At 53.1% G+C, this 17,743-nt stretch overlaps 1 protein-coding gene across 1 annotated transcript in view, besides 1 other annotated feature; it reads left to right on the forward strand.

The window, feature by feature from the left end:
• The window catches only part of TRIOBP (TRIO and F-actin binding protein), a 79,509-nt gene continuing 61,893 nt past the window's right edge, over positions 128 to 17,743 (forward strand). Inside the window, exons 1-5 of the mRNA NM_001039141.3 lie at positions 128 to 169; positions 668 to 776; positions 4,386 to 4,559; positions 13,507 to 13,646; positions 16,290 to 16,491. Coding sequence (NP_001034230.1) covers positions 4,446 to 4,559; positions 13,507 to 13,646; positions 16,290 to 16,491 — 456 coding nt within the window. The 5' untranslated portion in view covers positions 128 to 169; positions 668 to 776; positions 4,386 to 4,445. The remainder of the gene's footprint in view (positions 170 to 667; positions 777 to 4,385; positions 4,560 to 13,506; positions 13,647 to 16,289; positions 16,492 to 17,743) is intronic.
• Positions 15,260 to 15,443: a silencer, noted in NCBI's record as "fragment chr22:38108187-38108370 (GRCh37/hg19 assembly coordinates)". NCBI's record gives its function as "represses an EF-1alpha promoter that drives an FKBP-Casp9 reporter gene in an ReSE screen in HepG2 liver carcinoma cells and K562 erythroleukemia cells {active_cell/tissue: HepG2 | K562}" and the evidence as "EXISTENCE:reporter gene assay evidence [ECO:0000049][PMID:32094911]".

Raw genomic sequence — 17,743 nt, forward strand, 5'->3', positions numbered from 1 at the left:
AGTCCCACAGTCTTCATGTAAATGAGGCACCCAGAGAGAGCCTATGCGAGCGTGGCAGGGGCGTGGCCTTCCACCTCCCGAGCATCGCTCTGATTCATTGTTAAAATAAAGAGGCCATGACCCTGGCACTCCCACCCCGGCAGCCCCTGTGCGTGGAAACCCAGCCAAGGTTAGCACTGGGCCTCAGAAAAGAGGAGCTGGTAGGGGGAGGCCTACAGGAGGGGTAGGGGTCGAGGGATCCGGGGAGGAACTGGCTGAATGCCTGGATGGAGAGGGTCCCGGGTCCATTCTCTGGGTGGGGCATGTGTAGCTGCTTAAGGTTTTGATTATTATATCCACATCTCAAGTGCATTTTAGAGAAGGATTCTGCCTATTGGTTGTGGGTAGGGGAGGAAACGGGAGCAGCGAGGGGCACGTGGAGTAGAGCCCCCTACCCACCCCCAGGAAAATGAGCGGCGTTCTCCTGCTAGGCGACGCTCCTTTATGTGGCCAGACCAGGAGAGAAACGCCCAGGACGGGCGGGGCCGATGCGCCCCTCTTCCACCACCAGGAGTCGGGAGGACGACCGCCCGGGGAGGATCAGAGACCCTGGGGCCACGGAAGGACCAGTGGGTAGCCCTCTCCCCACCGTGCCTTGCTGTCGCCCCCACCGCATTCCCTTCTCCAGGTCTGATGATGGAGGAGCCTTGGCCCTGGCTGTCCCAGGGGAGGAGGTGAAATTCCTCAGCTCTCCACCAAGATTGGCCACAAAAGCCTGATCCCCTGGAACACAGCAGGTGAGGATGGATGTGGGCAGGTGACCTGGGGGCACCAAAAGCTGCAGGTGTTTTGGGATGTTGGGTTCCTCCCACCCCCCACCCTCCCCCTGGGGCTCTGTGTGAGTGGGGAGGCCATCTTTAAGTGATTCTCCTGACCCAGCTCCACTCCAGGGCATGGATGTTGGTGGCCTTAGGGGCACCCAGAAAGGAGAACCCTTGCACAAGTAAGATACCAGGGCGGCCGGGCGCGGTGGCTCAAGCCTGTAATCCCAGCACTTTGGGAGGTCGAGGTGGGTGGATCACAAGGTCAGGAGTTCGAGACCAGCCTGGCCCATATGGTGAAACCTCGTCTCTACCAAAAATACAAAAAAATTATCCGGGCATGGTGGCACATGCCTGTAATCCCAGCTATTTGGGAGGCTGCGGCAGGAGAATTGCTTGAATCCGGGAGGCAGAGGTTGCAGTGAGCCGAGATCGCGCCACTGCACTCCAGCCTGGGTGATAGACCGAGATTCTGTCTCAAAAAAAAAAAAAAAAAAAGAAAGAAAGACACCAGGGTTTCAGAAGGGTATGATGCTTCACACCTGTAATCCCAGCACTTTGAGGGAAGGAGGAGGATTACTTGAGGTCAGGAGTTCAGGAGTTCAAAACCAGCCTGGGTAACACTGCAAGAGCCTTTTTTTTTTTTTTTTTTTTTTTTGAGACACACTGTTGCCCAGGCTGGAGTGCAGCGGGGCGATCTTAGCTCCACTGCAACCTCCACCTCCTGGGTTCAAGCAATTCTCTTGCCCCAGCCTCTTGAGTAGCTGGGATTACAGGCATGCGCACCACGCCCAGCTAATTTTTATAGTTTTAGTAGAGACAGGGTTTCATCATGTTGGGCAGGCTGGTCTTGAATTCCTGGCCTCAAGTGATCTGCCTGCCTCAGCCTCCCAAAGTGCTGGGATTATAGGCGTGAGCCACCGCACCTGGCCAAGAGCCCATTTTTACAAAATAAAAAAGAAAAAAATTAGCTGGGCGTGGTGGCGTACACCTGTAGTCCCAGTTACTCAGTCCCAGAGACTGAGGCAGGAGAATCATTTGAGCCCGGGAGTTTGAGGTTGCAAGGAGCTATGATCGAGCCACTGCACTCCAGCCTGGGTGACAGAGCAAGACCCTGCCCCCACCTCCCCAAAAAAGACATTAGGGGCCGGATGCAGTGGCTCACACCTGTAATCCCAGCATTTTGGGAGGCCGAAGGGGGCGGATCACCTGAGGTCAGGAGTTCACCTGGCCAACATGGCGAAACCCCGTTGCTACTAAAAATACAAAAATTAGCCAGGCATGACGGTGCATGCCTGTGATCCCAGATACTACTGGGGAGGCTGAGGTAGAATTGCTTGAACCCAGGAGGCGGAGGTTGCAGTGAGCCGAGTGAGCCAAGATCACATCACGGCACTCCAGCCTAGGTGACAGAGAGAGACTTCGTCTCAAAAAAACAAAACAAAACAAAACGAAAACACATTAGGATTTCTTTTTGGCTAAGTTCTGCCACAAACTTGCTGTGTGACTTTAGGCTGTTCACGTTTGTCAAAGACGTCGTCCTCAACTCTGAAAATACCTGGCCAGCTTTTTGCCTCCCTCGCTGTGCTTCCCAAGGGACCTGTGCGAGTTGGCAGTATGATCCAGTGCTCCTCACTTCCACCTCCGAGAGAGCAGGGACACACACAGCCCTGGATTTGAATCAGCCACTGCGACCTTCAGTGACCGAAGGAACCTCTCTGAGCCTTAGTTGCCTGATCTAAAATTGGCATTAATTTGATCTACAATGCAGCTATAAGACAAGGACACTCAAACTTTGGGGCGCACTAGAATCACCTGGGGAATCACTTTTTTTTTTTAAGACAGAGTCTCACTCTTATCACCCAGGCTGGAGTACAGTGGTGCAATCTTGGCTCACTGCAACCTCCGCCTCCTGGGTTCAAGTGATTCTCCTGCCTCAGCCTCCCGAGTAACTGGGACTACAGGTGCATACCACCATGCCTGGCTAATTTTGTATTTTTAGTAGAGACAGGGTTTGGCAATATTGGCCAGGCTGGTCTCGAACTCCTGACCTCAGGTGATCTGCCCGCCTCGGCCTCCCAAAGTGCTGGGATTATAGGCGTGAGCCACTGCGCCTGGCCAGGAATCGCTTCTTTATTTTCATTTTCATTTATTTATTTATTTATTTATTTATTTTGAGATGGAGTCTCGCTCTGTTGCTCAGTCTGGAGTGAAGTGGCGTGCTCTCCGCTCACTGCTACCTCTGCCTCCCAGGTTCAAGCGATTCTCGTGCCTCAGCCTCCCAAGTAGCTGGGACTACAGGTGCGTGCTACCACGCCCAGCTAATTTTTGTATTTAGTAGAGGCGGGGTTTCACCATGTTGGCCAGGCTGGTCTTGAACTCCTGGCCTCAAGTGATCTGCCTGCCTCAGCCTCCCAAAGTGCTGGGATTACAGGCGTGAGCCACCGCCCTCGGCTGGAATCACTTCTTTAACATGCACAGCCCCAGACCTCAGTCTCTTGGAGATTCTAACTGTGTGAATTGGGAGAGAGAAAGGGGAATCTAGATTTTTTTTTTTTTTTTTTGAGATGTGGTCTTGCTATGTTGCCTAGGCTGGAGTGCTGTAACTATTCACAGGTGCAGTTATAGCACACTACCACCTCAAACTCCTGGGCTCAAGAGATCCTCCCACCTCTGCCTCCCGAGTAGCTTGGACTGCAGGTGCACACCATCTTACCCAGCTGAAATCTGCTTTTTTTTTTTCTCAGTGCAGTGGCACAGTCATGGCTCACTGCAGCCTCGACCTCCCAGACTCAGGTGATCCTCCCAACTTCAGCCTCCTGAGTAGCAGGGACCACAGGCCTGCACCACCTTGCCCAGCTAATTTTTGTATTTTTTGTAGAGACGGAGTTTCGCCAGTTGCCCAGGATGGTCTTGAACTCTTGGGCTCAAATGATCCGCCGCCCGCAATGGGCCCAGCTGGAATCTGCATTTTTTTGTTTTTTGTTTTGAGATGAAGTCTCACTCTGTCGCCCAGGCTGGAGTGCAATGGCGCAATCTTGGCTCACTGCAACCTCCGCCTCCTGGGTTCAAGCCATTCTCCTGCCTCAGGCTCCCAAGTAGCTGGGATTACAGGCACGTGCCATCACACTTGGCTGATTTTTGTATTTTTAGTAGAGACAGGGTTTTACCATATTGGCCAGGCTGGTCTCGAACTCCTGACCTCAAGTGATCGGCCCACCTCGGCCTCCCAAAGTGCTGGGATTACAGGCATCAGCCACTGTGCCTGGCCTGGTATCTGCATTTTTATGAACAGCCCAGGAGGGTGTAATGCAGAGTCCTTGGCGTGCACTTTCAGCAACACTGCAGTAAGGACTAGAAATCGCACATCAAATGCTGGCAGAGTGCCTGGTGCTTAGTAGGTGCTTAGTGAGTGTTTGTTGAGTGAATAAATGAACAGGAATGGATGGAGAACAGGAACCCAAAGGAATGGATGAGTAACCTTATTTCCTTGGTCCTTGTCTGGAAACTGGGGCAACTGGGGCTGGGGTTCAGGTGAGTGGCCAGCCAGTCATCTGGTCTTTGCCTCCCCCTCATTTTTGCCAGGCCTCACATAGACGGTCAGCCATTGGATCATAGGAACTGCCCTGGCCTGACTCACCCAATATGGAGGAGGTGCCTGGGGATGCCCTGTGTGAACACTTTGAGGCCAACATACTTACCCAGAACCGCTGTCAAAACTGCTTCCACCCTGAGGAGGCCCATGGAGCAAGATACCAGGTGGGCCAGTTTTCCACGTGGTTGGGGTGGTTTGTGATGGGGGCATGGGTGAAGGACTGGGCCTGTGGTGTCCGCTAACTCGCAGTTGAACCCAGATGCTGGACTTCCTCCTGTCGAGAGCCTCGGTTTTCCCACATTGCAGGGAAGTGGTTGAACCATGTGAATGTTTCACAATCTTCAGTCACTTTCCTCCTGCTTATATGATACGATTGTTACCATAGCCTTATCTAATCTGTTACTTACTTTGTTATTCTTTAAATCAACATCTTTTTCCCCTTCTATTGAAACAAAACTTCACATCATCAACACAAGTAGAAAACTAGAATTACTTCCTGTTAAGAAGAAGAGGTTAAGAAGAAAGGTAGAGGCTGGGCACGGTGGCTCACGCCTGTAATCCCAGCACTTTGGGAGGCCGAGGTGGGTGGATCACCCGAGGTCGGGAGTTTGAAACCAGCCTGGCCAACATGGTGAAAATTAGCTGGGCATGGTGGTGCATGCCTGTAATCCCAGCTACTTGGGAGGCTGAGGCAGGAGAATCACTTGAACCTGGGAGGCGGAGATTGTGGTGAGCCGAGATCGCGCCATTGCACTCCAGCCTGGGCAACAGAATGAAACTGTCTCAAAAAACAAAACAAAACAAAACAAAAAAGAGAAGAAAGGTAGAAAAAGAAAAAACAAAACAGAAATGTCGTTACACCCTAACTTGAGAGTGTTTTCTTTTTCTTTTTCTTTTTTTTGAGACAGAGTCTCACTCTGTCGCCTGGGCTAGAGTGCAATGGCAATGGTGTGATCTCAGCTCACTGCAATCTCTGCCTCCTAGGTTCAAGCGATCCTCCCGCCTCAGCCTCCCAAGTATTGGGATTACAGGTGCCTGCCACCATGCCCAGCTAATTTTTGTATTTTTAGTAGAAACGGGGTTTCGCCATATTGGCCAGGCTGGTCTTAAACTCCTGACCTCAGGTGATCCACCCGCCTCAGCCTCCCAAAGTGTTGGGATTACAGGCGTGAGCCACCGCGCCTGGCCTCGAGAGTGTTTTCTATGGAAGGCTCTGAGCTTGCATCCTGCTGTCTCTTTGTCAAAAAGGGAGATTAGCAGATGTTAGAGAGATGTTAAGAATACACCAGCATCATCTAGAGATTTTCTTTCTCTCTCTCTTTTTTTTTTTTTTTTTTTTTTTTGGAGATAGGGTCTTGCTCTGTAGCACAGGCTGGAGTGCAGTGGTCCAACCTATAGTACATGGCTCACTGTAGCCTCGACCTCCCAGGCTCAAATGATCTTCCCACCTTGGCCTCCTGAGTAGCAGGGACTACAGGCACATGCCACCATGGCCAGCTAATTTTCTTGTAAAGATGGGATCTCACTATGTTGCCAGGGCTGGTCTCAAATTCCTGGGCTCAGGTGATCCTCCCACCTCAACCTCTGTAACTGCAGGGATTACAGGTGTGAGACACTGCACCTGGTCTCAAGATTTTCTTCTTCAAGTTATTGAAGGAGTGAAGAAGAATCCTTTTTTTTCTTTCTTTTTTTTTCATTTGAGACGGAGTCTCTCTCTGTCGCCAGGCTAGAGTTCAGTGGCTCAATCTCAGCTCACTGCAACCTCCGTCTCCTGGGTTCAAGCAATTCTCCTGCCTCAGCCTCCTGAGTACCTGGGATTACAGGTGCCCACCACCATGCCCAGCTAATTTTTGTATCTTTAGTAGAGACAGGGTTTCACCATGTTGGTCAGTCTGGTCTCGAACTCCTGACCTTGTGATCTGTCTGCCTCGGCTTCCCAAAGTGCTGGGATTACAGGTGTGAGCCACCGCGCCTGGCCGAGATTTTCTTCTTCAAGTTATTGAAGGAGTGAAGAAGAGTCCTTTTCTGACTTTGTGATTGATGTAGTCTGCTGCCAAGCCCCCATGCATGTAAACACAGAGCACCTGATACACACGCAATGAGAAACCTGGGACTCACGAACCTCCGAGGGCCCTTCCAACCTTGACCACCATGGCTTCGTCATTCCCATTGGGGTCTGAAGGTCCTCTTTTTTTTTTTTTTTTTTTGAGACAGAGTCTCGTTCTGTTGCCCAGGCTGGAGTACAGTGGTGCGATCTGGGCTCACTGCAAGCTCGGCCTCCCAGGTTTATGCCATTCTCCTGCCTCAGCCTCATGAGTAGCTGGGACAACAGGCACCCGGCACCACGCCCAGCTAATTTTTTGTCTTTTTAGTAGAGACAGGGTTTCACCATGTTAGCCAGGATGGCCTCGATCTTCCTGACCTCGTTATTCGCCCACCTCGACCTCCCAAAGTGCTGGGATTACAGGCATGAGCCACCGCGCCCAGCTTCTACCAGTCTTGATACCTCCAATAATAGCTCTCTTGTGCTCACCTGCAAGTTCAGGTTCAGGGAACAGATGCCTGGGAGTCCATCTTTCATGCAAATGACTTTCTTCCAGTGGTTGGGAAGATGGCAAGAATGGAACAGGAGAGCCGTGGATTCAGGCTCGTCTGAGTTCTAGTCTCAATCCCACCATTTCCCACCCGAGACCGTGGGTCAGCTCACAAATTCATACGTACTGAATAGGTGCTTAAAATGTGCCAGGCATTATGCTAGATGATGGGGAAATCATGATAAATCAGAAAGGCACAGCCAGGCACAGTGACTCACTCCTGTAATCCCAGCACTTTGGGAGGCCAAGGTGGGTGGATCACTTGGAGTTTGAGACCATCCTGGCAACATGGCAAAACCCCATCTCTACAAAAAATTTAAAAAATTAGCTGGGCGTAGTGGGATGCGGCTATAGTCTCAGTTACTCAGGAGGCTGAGGTGGGAGAATCACCTGAGACTGGGAGGCGGGGGCTTCAGTGAGCCGTGATCGCATTACTGTATTTCAGCCTGGGTGACAGAGTTGGACCCTGACTCAGAACAGAACAGAACAGAACAGAACAGAACAGAACAGAACAGAACAGAACAGAACAGTACAGAAAACAGGGAGAAGGAGGGGAAGGGGGAGGGGAAGGGGGAGGGGGAGAGAGAGGAGGAGAGGAGGAGAGAGGGACACATCCCTGGCTTGTCTTCATGGGGCTTATATTCTAGCAAGAGAAATGCACATGATTATTTAATCTTGGTTGTGATAAATGTATAAAGGAACAGTAAGTGGCATGAAGGTAAAGGATAGGGCATTAGGGAAAGTTTCTCCAAAAAAAAAAAAATGACATTTCAGCTGCTTAGTAAAGGCTGTGCAGGCATTAGCATTAGTGAAATTGCAGGAAGAGGAGAGGAAGGAAGGAGAATGTGCAAAGGCCAGCCTGGCACGGCAGCTCACGCCTGTAATCCCAGCACTTTGGGAGGAAGTGCTTGGATTGAGGCACCGAAGCAGGAAGATCACTTGAACTCAGGAGTTTGAGACCAGCCTGGGCAGCACAGTGAGACCCCATTTCTACCAAAAAAAAAAAAAAAAAAATTAGCCAGGCAGGATGGTGCACACCTGTAGTCCCAGCTAGTCAGAAGGCTGATGTGGGAGGATTACTGGATCCCAGGAGTTCAAGGTTGCAGTGAGCCATGAGCATGCCAATGCACTCCAGCCTGGGCAACAGAATGAGACCTTGTCTCAAAAACAAAACAAACAAACAGGTCAGGTGCAGTGGTTCATGCCTGTAATCTCAGCACTTTACGAGGCCGAGACGGGTGGATCACCTGAGGTCAGGAGTTCAAGACCACCCTGGCCAACATGGTGAAACCCCATCTCTATTAAAAATACACAAATTAGCTACATGTGGTGGTGGGTGCCTGTAATCCCAGGTACTTAGGAGGCTGAGGCAGGAGAATCTCTTGAACCCAGGAGGCAGAGGTTGCAGTGAGCCAAGATTGCACCACTGTACTCCAGCCTGGGCAACAGAGCGAGAATCCTCTCAAAACAAAACAAACAAACAAAGAATATGCAAAGGCCCTGAGGCAGAAAGGAGGCTGCACATCGGGCTGGAGAGGACAGGCAAGAGGGGGGCACAGAGGAGCTATAGGACAAGGATGGAGAATGGGGGGAGGCCTGGTCTCACTGGCCTTGTGCGGCTTTGTGGACATGTTGAGGACTTAGGATTCTGAGGTTTTTTTCTGTTTTGTTTTTGTTTTTTTTTGAGATGGAGTCTCGCTCTGTCGCACAGGCTGGAGTGCAGAGGCGTGATCTCGGCTCACTGCAACCTCTGCCTCCCAGGTTCAAGCGATTCTCCTGCCTCAGCCTCCCAGGTAGCTGAGACTACAGGCATGTACTACCAAACCCAGTTAATTTTTGTATTTTTAGTAGAGATGGGGTTTCACCATGCCGCTCAGGCTGGTCTTGAACTCCTGGCCTCAAGCAATCTGCCCTCCTTGGCCTCCCAAAGTGCTGAGATTACAAGTGTGAGCCACCTCGCCCGGCCAAGCCACGGAAGATTTCAAATAAGGGAGTGACGTGCTCTGATTTGCATTTTTCACAGTCACTCTGATTGCTGGGCAGAGAGAATGGAGGGCAGGGTGGTGAGAGTGAATCAGGTGACCCGCCAGGAAAAGGTGCACGTACTCATCGGTGCCAGAGATGATTGGGGCTTTGAGATGGAGGCAAATGGACACATTTCCGAACTAATTGAGCAGGCACGTCTACAGGATTTGGGGGTGAGGGAGGGGAGAAACCCATGGCTGACTCCTGTAATTTCTTCAGGCAGGGTACTTGGGTTGGGAGGTCTGTTTGGAGTTGTCTGGGGCATGGTGTGGGGTGTCGGCAGGATACAGTGGAGATGAGGGGGAAGTTAGTGAATTGGTGGGGCTGGAGCTCAGAGCCAGACCATCACAGGAGATGGAGGCCTGCGAGTCTTCAGGATCTGTCACTGACCAAAGTCTTGCTCACGGATGAGCCTATCATCTGTGGAAGAAAGTGTGGAATGAGATGAGAACAGGCCTGGGTGGAGGCCAGGGAATCAGCAGAGACAGCCAAGAAGGCCAGAGGCTAGGAGGCAAACCCCACAGTGTGCCCCTCCTCCCCAGGAGCCAAGACCAGAGATGGTTTCAAGAGAGGGGGCCAGGCACAATGGCTCCCGCCTGTGATCACAGCACTTTAGGAGGCTGAGGCTAAAGGATGGCTTGAAACCAGGAGTTTAAGACCAGCCTAGTTAACAAAGTGAGATCCCATCTCTACAAAACAAAAAATGAACTGGGTGTAGTGGTGCATGCCTGCAGTCCCAGCTACTTGGGAGGCTGAGGCAGGAGGATTGTTTGAGCCCAGGAGATTGAGGCTGCAGTGCACTGTGATCATGCCACTGCCACAGCAAGACTATCTTAAAAAAAAAAAAAAAAGATCAGAGAGGGGCACGACATCAAATCCTCCACTTTCTTGAGCTTCCAGTTGCTCTGATGATGATCAAGGCTGTGAAACTCTCCTTTGGCAAATGCATGAGGGGTGACTGTTGTGTCTCCGAGCCAGGCCCTGGGACCCAACTCTGGGCAGGTAGCAGCTCCCTGTGTATACCAGATGTGATAGTAAAAAACTGACACTGGGCCGGGCGCGGTGGCTCACGCCTGTAATCCCAGCACTTTGGGAGGCCGAGGCGGGTGGATCACTTGAGGTCAGGAGTTTGAGACCAGCCTGACTAGCATGGTGAAATCCTGACTCTACTAAAAATACAAAAATACAAAAATTAACAGGGTGTGGTGGCGGATGCCTGTAATCCCAGCTACTCGGGAGGCTGAGGCAGGAGAATTTCTTGAATCCGGGAGGCGGAGGTTGCAGTGAGCCGAGATCTGGCCACCGCACTCCAGCCTGGGCGACAAGAGCGAAAAACTCCATCTCAAAAAAAACAAAAAAACCTCCTGGGCCCCAGAAGATGGCAACTGCCTCTTCCAGCCTCTTCCACCTGCCTGCCTGTGCACTCCTCTGCCACTCTGGACCTATTCCATGGTGCCACGTGGTCAGGCATTGAAGGAATGGGTGGGTTTTTTTTCCATCACCCTCAGATGCTGCTGCTGGGGTTGGGGCGGGTCTTCCCTGGCTGACTCTGTCTGCCTCACCCACTCTCTCCCCATCTCTCTGTCACCACAGGTCTCCAGGGACCAAATTTAGCCCATTTTTCCTCCAAGGATTCTGGACCCTTGGCCATATTTGCCTCTAGCTTTAGGTCAACAGATTTCTAACATGGAGTCAAAAAATCTGTATGTTTAAAAAAAAAAAATTGGCTGGGAGTGGTGGCTCACGTCTGTAATCCCAGCACTTTGGGAGGCCGAGGCAGGTGGATCACCTGAGGTCAGGAGTTCGAGACCACCCTGGCCAACATGGTGAAACCCCGTCTCTACTAAAAATACAAAAATTAGCTGGGTATGGTGGCGGACCCCTGTAGTCCCAGCTACTCAGGAGGCTGAGGCAGGACAATTGCTTGAACCCGGGAGGCAGAGGTTGCAGTGAGCTGAGATCGCGCCATTGCACTCCAGCCTGGGTGACAGAGTGAGACTCTGTCTCAAAAAAAAGAAAAAAAAAAAAAAGGCCGGGCGTGGTGGCTCACGGCTGTAATCCCAGCACTTTGGGAGGCCGAGGCGGGCGGATCACGAGATCAGGAGATCGAGACCATCCTGGCTAACACGGTGAAACCCTGTCTCTACTAAAAATACAAAAAATTAGCTGGGCATGGTGGCGGGCGTCCATAGTCCCAGCTACTCGGGAGGCTGAGGCAGGAGAATGGCATGAACCCGGGAGGCGGAGCTTGCAGTGAGCCAAGATCACGCCACTGCACTCTAGCCTGAGCGACAGAGTGAGACTCCGTCTCACAAAAAAAAAAAAAAAAAAAAATTGAGGCCAGGCACAGTGGCTCATGCCTGTGATCCCAGCACTTTGGCCGAGGCAGGCAGATCACCTGCCATCAGGAGTTCGAGACCAGTCTCGCCAACATGGCAAACCCCTGTCTCTACTAAAAATAGAAAAATTAGCCGGGCATGGTGTCGGGCACCTGTAATCACAGCTACTGGGGTGGCTGAGGCAGAAGAATTGCTTGAACCCAGGAGGCGAAGGTTGCAGTGAGCCGAGACTGCACCATTGCACTCTAACCTGGGCTATAAGAGCGAGACTCTGTCTCAAAAAAAAAGCCCTTTACAAATATTAACTCGTTTAATTCTCAGAACACCCCTAGGAGGTGGGTCCTGCTATCCTGCCGGTTTTGTAGATGAGGTAACTGAGGCACAGAGAGGATAAGTCACGTGGCCCAGGTCTTGGTCGCTTCTCAGCCTCCATTTCCGAGAGGAGAAAACAATGCTCCGAAAGGGGAAGTCATCGGCCTGAGGTCACCAGCCGGGAACCGGAGGAGCCAGGATGGGGCCCGAGGTCCATCTGAGGCCAGAGCCAGTGCTGACCCGCCAGACAGGAAATCAGAGCTGGGGACTGACCGTGGGGCCCACTCAAGTGGGTGGTGTGGGGTGGTGACGGGGGCTGGGGTGAAAGCCAGGATGAGGTGTCACATTAGGCTAGGGTTCCTGCTGGGCCTGGCGGGGCAGAGACCCCTGGTTGATGCCTGGCAAGTCTCTCCTCATTTCTGCTGTGCTGTCCCCTGGGTGGCCAAGGCGCCAGGCCCGGCTGTGGATCTGACACCTCCTGCTGCCGAGCTCTGATCAGAATCTGGCTGCAGGGCAGGGGGTGAAACTGAATCCCACCAGGCCTCCCCTGGCCTGGATGTCACGGCAGACATCCCAACCCCACTTCTTGGCACTGCCTGACCCCAGCAGTGGCCTTCTTGGAACCTGGAGAGCCTGTGCCCACCCTGTGGTGCCGACCAGGCTGCTGCCTTGGCCCTGGGCTCTGGGCTCCAGGGTCCCCAGGGATCCCAGGCCCAGGCTCTTGCCCCTCCCGGCTCTCAGGTGAGCTGCTGGGATCGGGTTCCTGCGGTTTCATGTCTTTCATTGTTCTTGGCTGGGGCCCGGCTTATGAAACTGTAATGAGGGGCCCCTGCTCCCGAAGCCGGCCCCTCTAAGGTTTCCACTGCCTCGGCGGCTGCTGCCACCACAGCCCGGAGTCGGGGCCTGGGAGGGCAGCAGTGTGGGGGCCTGAGCCGGAGCCCCCCGGGGACGAGGGTGCTGACAGTCGACAGCCACCACCACCACCAGAGCCCGCAGCCCAGGTAATCCGAGAGGAGGCGGGGCGCAGGGTGCCATGGCCGCTGTCTCCCACCACCAGGGGAGGGAACTGCCGCTCTCCAGAGGTGGGGAGGAATTGGGGGGGGCCCTGGAGGTGAGCAGCCGTTCCCCCCTGGTGAGCCCAGCACCAGACCAGCCTTCACAGGTGTGGCCTTGCCAAAGGTGGAGGGAGAGAGGAGTGGGCAGCTGGCTCTAGCCCCCGCCCTTTTCCTGGGGCCTTGACCCTCCAGCCCTGGATCCCCTGCCTCTCCTTTAGTGGGGCAAATCTCTTCTGTCCTCCAAGACCTTGCTTTCCCATCTCCTCTACCATCAAACTGCCTCTTCCTCCCTCAGACCTCTCCCTTCTCTCAGCCAGCCTAATCCTTCCTCCTCGCCCTTGTCTTTTGGCCGCAAAAGACCCTGGTGGATCCTTCTATCCACCTCGTTCTGGGGCGCACGCACATACATGCATGTATACATGAAGTTGCACTCATGCAAACGTACAGATCGGTGTACCCGCGGGACCTGCGTAGACACGCATGCGCAAGAGCTCGCTCCACCTATGTGCACACATGTGCCCCCAATACCAGGCCTTTATCCACACACATACCTGCTCCAAGGCCCATATGTGTACACTCACGTGTGCAGGCACACACCAGGTACCTCAGCCAGCCCTCGGCTTGAGTCCCAAGGGGTGCTTCTAGCCTGATGGGCAGCTCCTTGAGAAGTGCAGGATCCCCCGAGGAGATGCCTGGAGACTCCCACGCCACCGGGAGGGGCTGTGCAGGGGGAGGGGAGCCCCCACGTGGGCGCTGAGCTGTCTCCTCTCTCCAACCCTGGCCCAGGAGCTCAGGAGCCCTTCAGGTGCTGAGGTGCCCTACTGCGACCTGCCTCGATGTCCACCTGCCCCTGAGGACCCACTCAGCGCCTCAACCTCCGGCTGCCAGTCTGTGGTGGACCCAGGCCTCAGGCCAGGGCCCAAGAGGTGGGTAGAGTCCCAGGGCCCAGGAAGGGCTTCATGGGGTGGAATGCCCTCACCCTTCCCATTTGCACTCCTTCCCCAAGGCAGCACCTGTCTCTAATGGCTGCTGGCATGGGTCACGTGGTCAGTCCTCTAAACCTAGGCACAGGTGGGTGGTGGGCATGCTCCTTGGGCCCACAGGAAGAACTCAGATCACACCACCCTGTTTGCACTTCAGTGGCTGAGCCTCCCCTCCCCAGTCCTGGCTGTCTCTCCCAGGGGCCCTGCCCACCCCATAACCTCCCAAGACCGAGCTCAGCTTTGCCCCAGGGTGTGTGGCTGCTGTACACTCACCTTGCAGTGGGCATGGCCACAGCCTACTCACATTTCCTGGTTCCCTTTGCACAGCTTTAAAAGATTAAACAGTCCCTGCACCCAGGGGCACCTGCTGTCACCCACCTACGTGGGTGTGCACTGCTCCAGGCTCTGGGGTTCCTTCCACCCTCAGGCCTGAGTGGCAGTCCCCCTTTAAGGTCATGGTACCTTGGGAGGCCATGGTCTGAGAGTCTAGAAACCTGGGTTCCAGCTTCAGATCCATCCCTGATGGGTCTTGAGCAAGTTACTCTGTCTTTCTGTGTCTCAGTTTCCCTCTCTGTAAAATAAGAGGGATTGAATTAAATCAGCATTGTGCTGGGATCATTCATGTGCTCCTCACAGGTAGGCATATTAAAACAAACAAACAAACAAAAAAACAGCCTGGGTGCAGTGGCTCATGCCTGTAATTCCAGAACTTTGGGAGGCCAAGGTGGGCGGATCACTTGAGGTCAGGAGGTCGAGACCAGCCTGACCAACATGGCGAAACCCTGTCTCTACTAACTATACAAAAATTAGCCAGGCATGGTGGCAGGTGCCTGTAATCCCAGCTGCTCGGGAGGCTGAGGCAGGAGAACCACTTGAACCCGGGAGGCAGAGGTTGCAGTGAGTTGAGATCGTGCCATTACACTCCAGCCTGGGTGACACAGCGAGGCTCCGTCTCAAAAAAAAAAAAAACAACAAAAAAAAAAAACAAAAAAAAACCCACAAAAAAACGAAAAAAAAAACAAAGACAGCTTTGTTATCAAGTATGTTTCAGAAAGTCTGGGATAAATGAAGTTGAATAGCTTTCCTGCAGGACTTGTCAGAGCCTTTAGCTTGCCTGCGTGCATCGTGGCTTTTGGGTAACGGAAGTAGAGAAGTATGTCATTTGACTACAGAGCTCTTTTTTATGGCCATCACTTATTATCATCGTGTAGGCCAGTCTGTGGGTCACTCTTTGGGGATACTGCCAGCGCTAAGCCTTCTTGAGCCTGTGACTTCTTTTAAAGCAGAGCCTTCTCTGCAGCTCCCTCCCTCAGCATCTGGGCTAGTGAACCCGTCAATGCCTGTGGAGCCATGCTGCCTCTCACATCCTCGTTAGCCAAGCATGAGTCTGTCTTCTTAGACTTACTGAACTTGGGGTCAGTAGACTAAGACTAAGACTTAAAGTTGGGGCTGGGGCAATAGTTTTGGTTCATAACACAGCTCTGCCCTTTCCTATCTCGGTGACCTTGGCCAGTCTCTTGACCTCTCTGAGCCTCAGTGTCTTCCTCTGTGAAATGGGAATTATTATTATTATTATTATTTTGAGATGGCATCTTGCTCTATCACCCAAGCTGGAGTGCAATGACACGATGTTGGCTCACTGCAACCTCAGCCTCCCGAGTAGCTGGGATTCCAGGCATACACCACCACACCCGACTAATTTTTGTATTTTTATTTATTTATTTTTGAGATAGAGTCTCGTGCTGTCACCCAGGCTGGAGCGCAATGGCACGATCTTGGCTCACTGCAACCTCCACCTCCTGGCTTCAAGCGATTATCTTGCCTCAGCCTCCTGAGTAGCTGGGATTACAGGTGTGTGCCACCACCATGCCCATCTAATTTTTTTATTTTTAGTAGAGACGGGGTTTCACCATGTTGGACAGGCTAGTCTCGGACTACTGACCTCAGGTGATCCACCCACCTTGACCTCCCAAAGTGCTAGGATTTCAGGTGTGAGCCACTGCGCCCGGCCTAAAATGGGAATTATTATACTTACTTTAAAGGGATGCTGTTGCTGGGCGCAGTGGCTCACGCCTGTAATCCCAGCACTTTGGGAGTCCGAGACGGGCGGATCACGAGGTCAGGAGATCGAGACCATCCTGGCTAACACGGTGAAACCCCATCTCTACTAAAAAATACAAAAAATTAGCCAGGCGTGGTGGCGGGCGCCTGTAGTCCCAGCTACTGGGGAGGCTGAGGCAGGAGAATGGCATGAACCTGGGAGGCAGAGATTGCAGTGAGCCGAGATGGTGCCACTGCACTCCAGCCTGGGTGACAGAGCGAGACTCTGTCTCAAAATAAATAAATAAATAAATAAATAAATAAATAAATAAATAATAAAATTACAAAAAAAAAAGGGATGCTGTTTTAGCTCAATGAGGCAATCCATATAAAAAGTCTGACACAGAGGCAGCTCTCACCATTGGCTCCCTTTCCCACACCAGCGTGTGGGCCCCAGGCTCCCTGTGTGAGTGAGTGCATATGCCTGGGTGGGGTGGGGGATGCTCCTAACTCCCCATTACTTTTTGGGTCTGTCTCCTCTCCCAGGGGCCCATCCCCCTCAGCAGGGCTCCCAGAAGAGGGTCCCACAGCTGCCCCCAGGAGCAGGAGCCGGGAGCTTGAGGCAGTACCCTATCTGGAGGGCCTGACCACTTCCTTGTGTGGCAGCTGCAACGAGGACCCCGGCTCTGACCCCACCTCCAGCCCTGACTCCGCCACCCCTGATGATACCAGCAACTCGTCCTCTGTGGTGAGCCAGGAGTGGGAGTTTGGGGGACAAGAGTGGCTCACACCTCCATCTGCAGCCCTGGGTCCCACCTAAACCTCCAGGCCAGGGCTGAGCCTCACACCAGGGAATCCGACGAGGTCCTCTGGACCATTAGCTGGCAGCTCGGGCCACCCCGGCGAACCCCTGGAGAGTGGGGATTTCTGCACAGGCTGGCCCAGGGCAGCTGGGGTCTGGCTGTGAAAAGACAGGGAAAGGAGTTTCAGCCGACAGGAGCTCTGGGTGAATCACCAGCAGGCTCGGGCTGCCACATGCTCTCAGATCCCAGAGTGTTGGGTTTGGTGTCTAGCGCAAGAGTGGCACAGGGCCCCAGGGCCCTGCCCTCGACACACAGTGCTGAGTCCCATGGCCAGCCCTGGAATAGATTTCCAAGAGACAGAGGAAAGGGAGCAGGCTGCGGGGGTCATTTAACCACGAAAAGAGAAGAGCCAGCAGTCTTTCCTCCAGCATTTGCATTTTGAGGGGCTGCCGCAGAGCAGAAGAGACAGGCTTGTCCCAGGAGACCCCCCAAAAGGAAAATGACAGGGGGTGGTGATAAGACTCAGAATAAAACAACCCAGCCTCACACGCTTCATGGCCAGCTCCATGCTAAGGGCTTGGTGGGTGTGGGCTCAGGGGAGACTCACCACAGCCTCAGAAGTGGAGATTTCAGTCGCCCCATATGGGGCTGAGGCTCAGCGGGGGGAGCAACTTAGTGGAGGCCACACATCTGGGAAGTAGTGGGGCTAGGATTTGAACCCACTTTTCTCTGGCCCCTGGGGCTACCTCACACAGTCCCACATGCGGAACTCTGGGACTCTGGGCAAAGCTCTTGGCTTCAATGGATGTACATGCCTCCTAGGTCCGTTGAAGATGAGCGACTTGGCACTTAGCACCTGCTAGAGCCCAGCACAGTGCCAGGCAAACAGCACATGCTTTTAATTTAATTGATTGATTGAAGACTGGGTGCGGTGGCTCACGCCTGTAATCCCAGCACTTTGGGAGGCCAAGGTGGGCGGATCACCTGAAGTCAGGAGATCGAGACCAGCCTGGCCAACATGGTGAAACTCTGTCTCTACTAAAAATACAAAAATTAGCAGGGTGTGGTGGTGGGCACCTGTAATCCCAGCTACTTGGGAGGCTGAGACAGGAGAATCGCTTGAACCCGGGAGGTTGCAGTGAGCTTAGATTGCACCATTGCACTCCAGCCTGGGCAACAAGAGCAAAACTCCGTCTT

Source organism: Homo sapiens, chromosome 22 (genome assembly GCF_000001405.40).
Source record: "Homo sapiens chromosome 22, GRCh38.p14 Primary Assembly".
Lineage (NCBI taxonomy): Eukaryota > Metazoa > Chordata > Mammalia > Primates > Hominidae > Homo > Homo sapiens.